The sequence below is a fragment of the Homo sapiens genome, chromosome 8, assembly GCF_000001405.40.
Source record: "Homo sapiens chromosome 8, GRCh38.p14 Primary Assembly".
In the NCBI taxonomy this organism is placed as follows: domain Eukaryota; kingdom Metazoa; phylum Chordata; class Mammalia; order Primates; family Hominidae; genus Homo; species Homo sapiens.
This window is the reverse complement of record NC_000008.11, coordinates 123,426,750-123,439,434: the sequence shown is the minus strand read 5'-3', so window position 1 is coordinate 123,439,434 and position 12,685 is coordinate 123,426,750. Positions and strand designations below refer to the sequence as shown.

The 12,685-nt window shown below is 44.5% G+C and overlaps 1 protein-coding gene across 16 annotated transcripts in view; it reads right to left on the bottom strand.

Annotated features, from left to right (window-relative positions):
• Nucleotides 1-12,685, bottom strand: part of NTAQ1 (N-terminal glutamine amidase 1) — a 58,972-nt gene that overhangs the window by 36,262 nt on the left and 10,025 nt on the right. For 13 of the 16 annotated variants that reach the window (XR_007060742.1, XR_002956636.2, XR_002956635.2 and 10 more), the window contains exons 2-5: nucleotides 11,412-11,511; nucleotides 9,402-9,452; nucleotides 2,834-2,982; nucleotides 2,101-2,225 (exon numbers count right to left, since the gene is read on the bottom strand). Coding sequence is in view for 5 of the 16 variants with exons in the window: in NM_018024.3 (NP_060494.1) it covers nucleotides 2,101-2,225; nucleotides 2,834-2,982; nucleotides 9,402-9,452; nucleotides 11,412-11,511 (425 nt within the window). In the remaining 11 variants the exon portion in view is untranslated. Of the gene's footprint in view, nucleotides 1-1,105; nucleotides 1,302-2,100; nucleotides 2,226-2,833; nucleotides 2,983-3,892; nucleotides 3,994-9,401; nucleotides 9,453-11,411; nucleotides 11,512-12,685 lie in introns of those variants that run through there. The other 3 variants (NM_001283027.1, XM_006716597.4, XM_047421923.1) reach the window with 3 other exon arrangements.

The following is a 12,685-nucleotide window of genomic DNA, read 5'->3' as shown; positions in this document are numbered from 1 at the left end:
GGAGGCGGAGCTTGCAGTGAGCTGACATCGCACCACTGCACTCCAGCGTGGGTGACAGAGTGAGACTCCGTCTCAAAAAAAAAAAAAAACTAGCCAGGTGTGATGGTGTATGCCTGTAATCCCAACTAATCCAGAGGCTGAGGCATGAAAATTGCTTGAACTCAGGAGATGGAGGTTGCAGTGAGCTGGGATCGTGCCACTGCACTCCAGCCTGGGCAACAAGAGTCTCAACAAAAAAAAAAGAAAGAAAGAAAATTGGGCTGGCAGTGCTCACCTCGGCAGCCCATATAGTAATTGGGCTGGCAAAAGCCCAGCACAAAACAGCATCCAATGACTAGTAGTCATCAAAACAAAAGGAATTGCCCCAGTTGGACCAGGGCTGACAAGGGGTTCACTAAATGCCTGCGATGCACTAGGTTCTGTCTTAGGTGCTCACATCTCAAGGGGAAACAGGTAGCTGCTAAAGGCACACTGTGGCCAGACCAGGCCCTGTAGAGCAGGTTGCCATAGATGCTAAGGCAGACCCCTCGAGCCCTCTCCTTACCAGGGAGCTTCCCCAGTTCTCACACTGAGGCCAGGAAGCAGCTCTGTGTACTGATAAGCAATTCCAATATAATTTTTTAAATTATGAGAGCTTTTCATAGAGAGCCTCAAAAATCAGAGTTTGAACCCTCTCTTAGTGTTCAGTCCCCTCAAATATGCCAAATGTATATTTTACTTTCTTCCGTTAAACTATTTTTTTCTTTTTCTTTTTTTTTTTTTGAGATGGAATCTTGCTCTTGTCACTCAGGCTGGAGTGCAGTGGTGCGATCTCGGCTCACTGCAACCTCTGCCTCCCGGTTCAAGCAATTACCCGGTTCAAGTAATTCTCCTGTCTCAGTCTCCCAAGGAGCTGGGACTTCAGGCACACACCACCACACCCGGCTAATTTTTGTATTTTTAGTAGAGACGGAGTTTCACCACATTGGTCAGGCTAGTCTCGAACTCCTGACCTCAGGTGGTCCACCCACCTCAGCCTCCCAAAGTGCTGGGATTACAGGCATAAGCCACCACGCTCAGACCCTTGTTGAAGTACTAACACTACTGCCCTATTTTTCTGACATGCTGCAGAGCTCACAGAGCACTTTCACACAGACTGTATTATCCAGGTGTTGGGATGATCTCACCCCTAAGTGGGAATGTTGTGAATTACTTACAAACGTAAATAATACTTCAAACTCATATGAATGCCAAACAATAGTAATAGGGTGAAGGACCCTTTATCTTCTTAAATGTCAGGAAATTATCAACTGGATTGATGCCTAAAAGCACATAAATGAGACAAGTGGTACAATAAAACCTGCTAGCGCTCACCTCCCTCTAATGCAGATTTTATTATATAGCCAAAGTGACATTTCACACATCATAAGGATGCAATGGGGATTTCTTTCACCACAGCACAAAACCCTACCATGGCAAGGTGCTACTAGTCCCGCTGTTAAATGACACAAGCATGCGAGTATCCTGATGTTCAGTGTCCCCGCAGTAGCTACATCCAATAATCCAGCAGTTTGCAGGTGCCCTGGTTCTGATCCTTAACACCCTTCCTCTCCCACATGTTCTTATGCCTTCCAGTCCTATTCTCTGTGCCTTCATTTCTGAATCTAATACACACACAGAAGTAGTATTTCCTATGACCTCCTTATCATTCATGGAATTTTTTGTTTTTTGTTTTTTGTTTTTTTTTTTTTTTGAGATGGAGTCTCACTCTGTCACCCAGGCTGGAATGCAGTGGCCCGATCTCAGCTCACTGCAAGCTCTGCCTCCCAGGTTCGCACCATTCTCCTGCCTCAGCCTCCCTAGTAGCTGGGACTACAGGTGCCTGTCACCACACCTGGCTAATTTTTTGTATTTTTAGTAGAGACAGGGTTTCACCGTGTTAGCCAGGATGGTGTCTATCTCCTGACCTCGTGATCCGCCCACCTCGGCCTCCCAAAGTGCTGGGATTCACTCATGGAGTTTTATTCAAAGAACAACCTGACTTTTGTCCTCCGTTAAGGAAAAATGCTGATGTGTATGTGATCAATCAGAACCCCCATCTGAGAAGGCATCTTGGCTCACCTCCAGTCTCAATGCAGGGATATGGCGGCGGAGGCTCTCTCCAATTCCCACTGGAGTCTTTCATGTGAGATCGGTCAGAAGCAAAGTTCTTCAAATATGAATCTGCACGGATCACTCTAAATTTCCTGCAGAAAAATCAATATACACTCACATTAGGGAGATGTCATGTTTGAAATTCTAACTCCATTTTTATATCGACTCATTTCCTATGACATGCACAAAACTACTCATGCATTTCTGTATGGTTAGTAATACAGGCAACTTTACTACCTATTAGAGAAGCATAGGAAATGATCAACCAAACCCCGAAACAGAAAGGCAAAGGCACAAAAATATATCTGGTTGCCTCGATTTACTCGATTTGTGTATCAAGGGCAATGGGCATGATTTTCTGATGCTGCCCTCACAGCCCTCTCAATGGTGACAGCACGAGGTATCCCCACAAAAACAAAAAGAATATAAGAAAAATCCCCAACCCGCTTGAAATTAAATGTCTGAGATCTCATCACACAAAATTTTAAAAGAATGACAACCTTTCATATGATAGATAACTTTTAAAGCTTTAAAACATTTTGAATCTCCTGTGTTGCAAATACATCATTCTTAAACATCAACTCAATGGTGATGTCAGACGAGATCTTTACAAAACAATTGTCAAAAAAAAAAAGAACCTCTGTGGAATCGTCAAATTCTTACTTCAGAAAATAAGTAAATCCATCTTGAATGTCCTCACCTCCTAAACTGTGGGTGAATGTCATCATCAGACTTAAAGGCATCTTCTACATAAGTGTCAAAGAGGCAGGGAAATGGCAAGACAGTATCGAGATCATAAATGAAGTTCTGTCCTCCACTTGAAACATGAAGCAAAACAACATGGTAATCCTAAAAGTAAAAGTTGCTGAAGTTAACCAAGTTACTTCATAATGATGAAATCCCAGTATTCAGACACATACCTTATCACTAAAAAGGATATAGGACTGCTACAGCCCTCCTTATAATAGCAAAATAGAATAAAGCAAACACAACACCCTGAAAACATGAAAACAGACTAAATGTCCACAGATAGGGAAATGGTTAAATAATGGAAATGTTCATAGTCATTAAATGCACATCCTCTGAAACTGCAATTTTACCTCTAGGAAACTTTTTTTTTTTTTTTTTTTTTGAGATGGAGTCTTACTCTCGTCACCCAGGTTGGAGTGCAGTGGCATGATCTCAGCTCACTGCAACCTCCACCTGCCGGGTTCAAGCAATTCTCTTGCCTCAGCCTCCCGAGTAGCTGGGATTACAAGCGCGCACCACGATGCCCAGCTAATTTTTTGTATTTTTAGTAGAGATAGGGTTTCATCATGCTGGCAAGGCTGGTCTTGAACCCCTGACCTCAGGCGATCCACCCGCCTCAGTCTCCAAAAGTGCTAGGATTACAGGTGTGAGCCACGGTGCCTGGCCCCACATATTTTTTTTAATTGAGACAGAGTCTTGCTCTATCACCCAGGCTGGCGTGCAGTGGCATAATCTCAGCTCACTGCAACCTCCGCCTCCTGGGTTCAAGCGATTCTCCTGCCTCAGCCTCCTGAGTAGCTGGGACTACAGACACCCGCCACCACGCCCAGCTAATTTTTGTATTTTTAGTAGAGATGGTGTTTCACCATGTTGGCCAGGCTGGTCTCCAACTTCTGGCCTCAAGTGATCCCCCCGCCTCAGCCTCCCAAAGTCCTGGAATTACAGGTGTGAGCCACAGTGCCGGCCCCACCTGCTATTTGTTAAAAGCTATCTGTATATAAAGACATACGTGCGCATTCAGAAGTACATTTGCATGCATGTGAATGCAGAGGAAAACGTCTGCAAGGATCTGCTCCAAACTAGTAACAAAGGAGGCTTCTGGGGGTCAGCCTGGAGAGGAGAAGGAGGACTTTAATTTCTAGTTTGGAACCACTTTTGCAATTAAAAGAAAGGAAAAACTATTTTTTAAAAAAAGAAGTTAGCCAAGCTTTCATCTGTAGCCACTAAGGGAGAAAGAAAAAGACAGCTTTTCCCACACAGCTCTGTCACAGTGTGGATGTTAATTCTCACCCTCACTCTCAGACTCAAGGTACTGCCCAACACCAGCGATGAGCTGAAAGGGATTTCAGGGAGGTGATCAAGGGACATGAGCAATGTGGTGCTCTGAGTTCTTCCAAAGAAAAACGCTCTCATAGAGAACAGCACTGTGAAATCAAAGCAACCTAGCAACATTAGTAATACCAACTTATATTTCTACAATATCTTAGAGTTTAAAAGGCACTTTCTTTCTCAAATATCATTCTACTTGAGCCCTGTATAAATCCTGAGGTAAGAACAATACTTAAGACTAGGGATGCTGTGCCTTTAAAAGCCTGAGTGCTGCCTTTGGCTCTAAGTCTGTCTTAGCAAAACAGAAAGATTCAAAAATGAATGCCTATTCTCTGGACTTCCCCAGATACATCCTATCCTCCACGCCCCCAAACAGTCCACCACTGCCTCCCAATGGGTCTGCTCATGTCATTCCCCTCCATCTGCAGCAACCTTCTCTACCTCTTTCTACCACACAAGCTCCAGCTAAAGGCTTTCTTCCCACGAATCAATTTTTTATCTTCTCCCACCCCCTGCCAGAATCTCCGCCTTATCCAAATTCTGTTTCTCTCTTAACATCTTCTAATTCATATTACAGGTTTGTTGTTGTTGTTGTTTTGAGACAGAGTCTCTCTCTGTCACCCAGGCTGGAGCACAGTGGCACAATCCCAGCTCACTGCAACCTCCACCTCCGGGGTTCGAGTGATTTTCCCACCTCAGCCTCCCGAGTAGCTGGGATTACAGGCGCGCCACCACACCCAGCTAATTTTTGTATTTTTAGTAGAGATGGGGTTTCACCATGTTGACCAGGCTGGTCTCGAACTCCTGGCCTCAAGTGATCTCCCTGCCTCTGCCTCCCAAAGTGCTGGGATTATGGGTGTGAGCCACTGTGCCCAGTCCCATATCAGTTTTTTTGAACCACACATTATCTATTCTATGTGAAAGACTGTGCTGCTGAACTGCAGATGCAAAGATGAAAAAGATAAGTTCTCACCCTCAAGAAGTTCCCAGAGAAGTGAATGGGAACCAGGTAAACTGCTGCAGGATATTGTGGAGAACAGAGAACATCAGAGGCAGGAGAGCAATGCAGGCAGGAGAGCAATGCAGGCAGGAGCAGGTAAGCGCCTGGTTCCAATCTCAGCCCCTCCCCTCGGCAACCTCACTCTGCTCTTTTATAAAATGGAGATAACTGGAGTATCTAACTCCAGGGTGTCCAATCTTTTGGCTTCCCTGGGCCACACTGGAAGAAGAATTGTCTTGGGCCACACATAAAATACACTAACACTAACGATTGCTGATAAGCTAAAAAAAAAAAAAATCACAAAAAAATTTCATAATGTTTTAAGAAAGTTTACAAATTTGTGTTGGGCTGCATTTAAAGCTGTCTTGGGCCACATGCAGCCCATAGGCTGCAGGTTAGACAAGCTTGGTCTACCTCATAGTGCTGCTAGAAGCATTAGTGTGTAAATGATCAACCCTTTTAAAAGACAACCAAAGGCTGGGCATGGTAGCTCATGCCTGTAATCCCAGCACTTTGGGAGGCCGAGGCAGGTGGATCACATGAGGTCAGGAGTTCAAGACCAGCCTGGTCAACATAGTGAGACCCCGTCTCTACTAAAAATACAACAACGAGCCGGGCATGGTGGCATGCACCTGTAGCCCCAGCTACTCAGGAGGCTGAGGCACGAGAATCACTTGAACCCAGGAGACAGAGGTTGCACTGAGCTAAGATCATGCCACTGCACTCCAGCCTGGGCAACAGAGCAAGAATCTGTCTCAAAAACAAATAAATAAATAAAAATAAAAAATTAAAGCCAACCAAGAAAGGAAGAGGACAGGAGCCCAATGGCCAAAGAGAGTTTCACAGAGGAAAGGACCCCATTGCAGAATCTTGCCTGATGGGGACAGCTTTCCAGAAAGAAGGTACAACTTGTGAAAAGGCATACATAATGACTATTCACAACTCTCTAGTAAGTTCAGGTCCACATTCCTATACACTAGGCAGCTGAGGGACTGCAAAGGAAAAGGGTTGGCCCAAAATTGCCTTCATGGCACAGATGAGGAGCCAAGGAATGCAGGCTTGAGCAGCGGCCTCACTCTCTGAGTTGGTTCAGTGTCTGCCCAGCTGCCAGGAAAAGACTGATTGTGCTAGGAGTGGGGATGTCACCTACAGATGCCACCATCTGCTCCATGTTATTTGGTCTAAGATAGAAGGACTATAGGCATGTTTTCTTTTAACTTTTTGTTTTGAAATTATTACAGGAGGACAGGCACAGTGGCTCACGCCTGTACTCCCAGCAATTTGGGAGGCCGAGGCGGGCGGATCACTTGAGGTCAGGAGTTCGAGATCAGCCTGGCCAACATGGCAAAATCCCATCTCTACTAAAAATAAAAAAATTAGCCAGGCGTGTGCCACATGCCTGTAATTCCAGCTACTCGGGAGGCTGAGGCAGAGGAATTGCTTAAACCTTGGGGGTCAGAGTTTGCAGTGAGCCGAGATCACACCACTGCACTCCAGCCTAGGCGACAGAGTGAGACTCCATCTCAAAAAAAAAATACATAAATAAAATTTAAAAAAAGAAATTATTATAGGAATGATTTTTTTTTTTGAGATGAAGTCTCATTGTATCGCCCAGGATGGAGTACAGTGGTATGATCTCGGCTCACTGTGACCTCTGCCTCCCAGGTTCAAGCAATTCTCCTGCCTCAGGCACCCAAGTAGCTGGGACTACAAGCGCCCACCACCACGCTAATTTTTGTATTTTTAATAGAGACAGGGTTTCACCATGTTGATGAGGCTGGTCTCGAACTCCTGACCTCATGGGATCTGCCTGCCTCTGCATCCCAAAGTGCTGGGATTACAGGTGTGAGCCACCACGCCCAACCTGAAATTATTATAGGAATGATTTTAAATGGCTAATGTGGCAGATATATTTGTGATGTCATAGACTTTTATCCATTTAGCATGGGAAGGGACTTTGGCAATATGTAGTCTGGCTACACATTAGAATTATCCAGAGACTGCGTTAACAATGTAGTTTTCTGATTTAGTAAATCTAGAAAGGGGTTCAGGATTTAGTGTTCTCGAATTTTACTCACTACTACTCACTGGTGTCTCTGCTCACTCAGCGAGGCCTACCCATGCCCTACAACAGGACAGCAGCGAGGCAAAGCAAAACCTGCCAGAGGGTGTGGGGAGACTTCTTGCAACAGGATTCCCCATCTTGAGCTGCCATGAGATGTGTAAGGGAGACATGGCTACAGGTCCTTCCCCTCCAAGTTTCCCTAGGATGGGGAGTAAGACCACGACTCAAAATCAGCTAAGCTGTTCAGCAACAGGGATGATTTCTCGTGCACACGGACCATCTATAACAGGGGTTAGGTATCACTGCTAACAGTAACTGCCAACACTTCCTGAGTACCAGTAGCAGACACCAGGAAGATGCTTCCTGTGCATTACCTCATTTAAGCCTCACGACCCCACTGACCAGGGGGAGACACTGAAGACAGAGGGTAAATAACCTATCTGGATCCCACAGCTGACCAATGAGAGGCCTGGGACTTAAACCCAGTATGCCTAACTCCAGAGCCTGTGCTCCTAACCCTAGAGCTGAGGGGCTTGGGCTTTCATGCAAGAGCAGCTTTCATGCAAGATCACCTGCTGGCAACGAAACTGAGAACGTCAGCTCTGTGAGGTCAGGGATTTTAATCTGTTTTTAGCCTGGCATATAAAACACACTCAATATATACATGTTAAATAAATGAGCGAAGCCAATCAAATGATACATAATTTTAAATAAATACCCAGAAACTAGGAGTTTGTTCCAATTCATCAGTGTCATTTTCCTTTTACTTTGCTTTCGTGTTTATTAGCATAAAAACTCTATTTTTTTTTTTTTTTTTTTTGATATGGAGTTTCATTCTTTTTGCCCAGGCTGGAATGCAATGGCGTCACCTCAGCTCACTGCAACCTCTGCCTCCCAGGTTCAAGCAATTCTCCTGCCTCAGCCTCCCGAGTAGCTGGGATTACAGGCACACGCCATCACACCCAGCTAATTTTTGTACTTTAGTAGAGACGGGGTTTTACCATGTTGACCAGGCTGGTCTTGAACTCCTGACCTCAGGTGATCCACCCACCTCGGCCTCCCAAAGTTCTGGGATTATAGGCATGAGCCACCGTGCCCAACCCTAGCCTCCATTCTTTAGGGGAATGGGTTAAGGTGACATGTAGATGTGTACTAAAAAGGACCCAGGTGTGAGACCCAGTTCTGCCACTGACCATGCCACTCTGAGCTACTCAGTTTGCTCTTCTGTGTTTATTTCTTCCCTGAAAAATAAAGGGGTGGGAGTAGATCCGTATTTTTCAAATGCCAGTCATGTTCACCTAGGAGTTCATCAAGAACACTAACTCCTGAACCCCTCTCTAGATTTACTAAATCAGAAAACTACATTATTTATTTATTGAGACAGGGTCTCTCTCTGTCACCCAAGCTGGAGTACAGTGAAGCAATCTCAGCTCGCTGCAGCCTCCACCTCCCGGGTTCAAGCAATTCTCCTGCCTCAACCTCCCGAGTAGCTGGGACTACAGGTGAGTGCCACCAGGCTCAGTTAATCTTTGTATTTTTTTTAGTAGAGACGGAGTTTTGCCATGTTGGCCAGACTGGCCTCAAACTCCTGGCCTCAAGTGATCCACCTACCTCAGCCTCTCAAAGTGCTGGAATTACAGGCATGAGCCACTGCGCCCGGCCTAATATTTGTATTATTATTAGAGATGGTGTTTCGCCATGTTGGCCAAGCTGGTCTTGAACTCCTGGCCTCAAGTGATCCGTCCACCTTGGCCTCCCAAACTGCTGGGATTACAGGTGTGAGCCACCGCGCCCAGCCGAAAACTACATTTTTAACAGTCTCCAGATAATTCTAATGTGTAGCCAAAGTTCCTTCCTGTGCTAAATGGTAAGAGTCTAGATCACAAATATATCCACCATTTAAAATCATTCCTATAATAATTTCAAAACAAAAAGTTAAAAGAAAATATGCCTACAGTGTTTCTACCTTAGATCAAATAACATCTATTCTCAAAAGGTCAATTTATTAATAATTACCATAGCCTTTCTCTACTGCTTAGGTCACTTCTGCTTTACCAAAACATACAGAACACTAAGGGGTTACAAGTCATAATGCGTCAATACTCTCTGTATTAACTGTCTTACCCAGATCACAGGTCCATCTCCAGGTCTCGCCTGTTGTTTCCAGATAGGTATCTACAAAATACAATACATTTCGTAAGCCATACCTTTAGTTAAACCACTACTAAATTATTTTCCTTTTTTTTTTTTTGAGACGGGATTTTTTTTTTTTTTTTTTGAGACAGAGTCCTGCTCTGTCACCCAGGCTGGAGTGCAGTGGCACAATCTGGGCTTACTGCAACCTCCACCTCCCGGGTTCAAGCAATTCTCCTGCCTCAGTTTCCCAAGTAGCTGGGATTACAGGCGTGTGCCACCACACCCAGCTAATTTTTTATTTTTATTTTTTGATGAAGGGTTTTGACACAAGGTTTCATCATGTTGGCCAGGCTGGTCTCGAACTCCTGATCTCAAGTGATCTGCCCACCTCAGCCTCCCAAAGTGCTGGGATTATAGGCGTGAGCCACCGCACCTGGCCAAGACAGGATCTTGTGATGCTGCCCTGGCTGGAGTGCAGTGGCTACTCACAGGTGCCATCATAGTATACTGCAGCCTTGAACTCTTGGCTTCAAGAGATCTGCCCGCCTCAGCCGCCTCACAAGTAGCTGGGACTACAGGCACGTGTCACTGTACCTGGCTACTACTATTTAAAGCAATACATACATGAGAAATAAAATATTTTTAAGCATGCAAAAATCAAGGTGAAGGAATGAATGAAGAGGAAGAAATCGAAATCCTTCTAAGTATCCCCAACAATGAAAGCTCTCAAGAGCACTAGTTATTGTATGATGGTCTTTGGAGAGTGAAAAGGGATCTGAACTAGGAATCAGAAGTCCTGGCAGGTATCAAATCTTGCTCTCCCATTTAATTATTCATAGGGCCACCCTAAGTCTTAATCTCTTCATCTATAAAATGAAGAAACTTGTCCAAATATTGCCTGCTTCACAGGGCTTCCATTGGGATCAAATGAGATGATGCCTGCAAATGTGTTTTACAAAATATGAAGGGCTTACTTTTTCTAATTCTTCATGTAAGTTGACTGTAGTTCTATTTAAACTCCAGAGACAAATCCTTACTTTAAAACTGAGAGTATGCGTCTCTAAGCAATTTTTAAAAAGTCTACATCTTCCATCTTGAATTTAAAAAAAGAAAAAAAAATGGCCAGGCACAGTGGCTCATGCTGGTAATCCCACCACATTGGGAGGCCAAGGCAGACAGGTCACCTGAGGTTAGGAGTTCGAGACCAGACTGGCCAACATGGAGAAAGCCTGTCTCTACTGAAAATACAAAAATTAGCCGGCCATCGTGGTGGGACACCTGTAGTCCCAGCTACTTGGGAGCCTGAGACACAAAAATCACTTGAACCTGGGAGGCAGAGGTTGCAGTGAGCCGAGATCACACCATTGTGCTATAGCCTGGGCAACAGAGTGAGACTCCGTACCAAAAAATAAAAGAAAAAACAAACAAACAAACAAAAAAAAACAGGTCTACATTGATACCTAAAGAAAAGGGACTTTATCTGCGTAGACCATCACATATTTCCTTACCTAAAGTAAGGGACTAAGCTGGGCATGGTGGCTCACACCTGTACTCCCAGCACTTTGGGGGGCTGAGGTGGGAGGATCACTTGAGGCCAGGAGTTCGAGACCAGCCTGGCCAACATAGCAAAACCCCATCTCTACTAAAAAATACAAAAATTAGCTGGGCGTGGTGGCACATGCCTGTAGTCTCAGCTACTTGGGAGGCTGAGGCAGGAGAATCGCTTGAACCCGGGAGGTGGAGGTTGCAGTGAGCCAAGAATCACGCCACTGCACTCCAGCCTGGGCGACAGAAGGGACTCAACTCTTCTAACTCAATCGTGCCTTGTAAGGAAAAAAATCTCATTCAAAAGCAAGCTTTTAAATGTTGCTGTATTTAATAAAGCACACTTCAGAAGAGTACTACACCCATGCTATATTTAGCTTTTTTTTTTTTAATTTAGCTTCTAATGTCATCCTAAATCTCTTGTTTTCTTTCTGCAATCACTCACCAACTTACCATCTTCCTCTCATTAGATATGAAGACAGCATAACATTCTTCTAAAGGATACTGGTCATGGTTTTTGATGTATTCACAGAGCTTCCAAATATTTTCTTCACTGAAATAAAATAATTGTTTAATCAAGATTAGAGAACATTCTATGTGTCTTTTAAATTTGAACAAAATACTGATGATGACATCAAAAAGTTGGAAAAGACCTTAAACCCCATGTCATCCAACAACTGGCTAATGTCTGAATCTCCTCTAAAACATCCCAACAAGCTGGTATTCAACCTATACTGTGTGTAAACCCCTCTCCACACAGAGCTAATTACCTCCCCTAGCAGTGCTTGTACATGGAGGCATTTTATAACTGATAAAATATGTCAATATTCTATGAGTTTTGGGCCCAGCAACTTGTAATACAGCTGAAATTCTAACTCAGCCACTTACAAGGTAAGAACCTTTGACAAAGGCCAGGCGTGGTGGCTCAGGCCAGTAATCCCAGCACTTTGGGAGGCCGAGGCGGGCGGATCACGAGGTCAGGAGTTCGAGACCAGCCTGGCAGAGAGACCAGCCTGACCAATATGGTGAAACCCCGTCTCTACTAAAAATACTAAAATTAGCCAGGCATGGTGGCGGGTGCCTGTAATCCCGGCTACTTGGGAGGCTGAGGCAGGAGAATTGCTCGAACCTGAGAGACAGAAGTTGCAGTGAGCCAAAGATCACACCACTGCACTCTAGCCTGGACAACAGAGCAAGACTCCAACTCAAAAAAAAAAAAAAAAAAAAAAGCTTTGACCATCTTGACTTCTCCAAGAATCTGCTTTTCTCATGTGTAAAATGGGCATAATCATATACTGTAAACACACAAAAATCTTAGTTAACACTGGTTCCCTGCTCTCTTTAGAAATGGGGCAGGATGGGTGTTTTGGGTTGAAAGCCTCCTGGCTGGAAAGAATCAGGAGCAATTATGTGATATGTCCGGGAACTCATTTGGGGGAATCCCTGTGAGTGGGATTCCCCATGCCCCTCTAGTAAGAAAGGGACATAATTTTATTTTTTTTATTTATTTATTTTTGGAGACAGAGTCTTACTTCACTGCCCAGGATGGAGTGCAGTGGTGTGATCTCGGCTCACTGCAACCTCCACTTCTCAGGTTCAAGTGATTGTCATGCCTCAGCCTCCTGAGTAGCTGGGATTACAGGCGTGCAGCACCACACCCAGCTAACTTTTGTATTTTTAGTAGAGATGGTGTTTCACCATGTTGGCCAGGCTGGTCTCAAACTCTT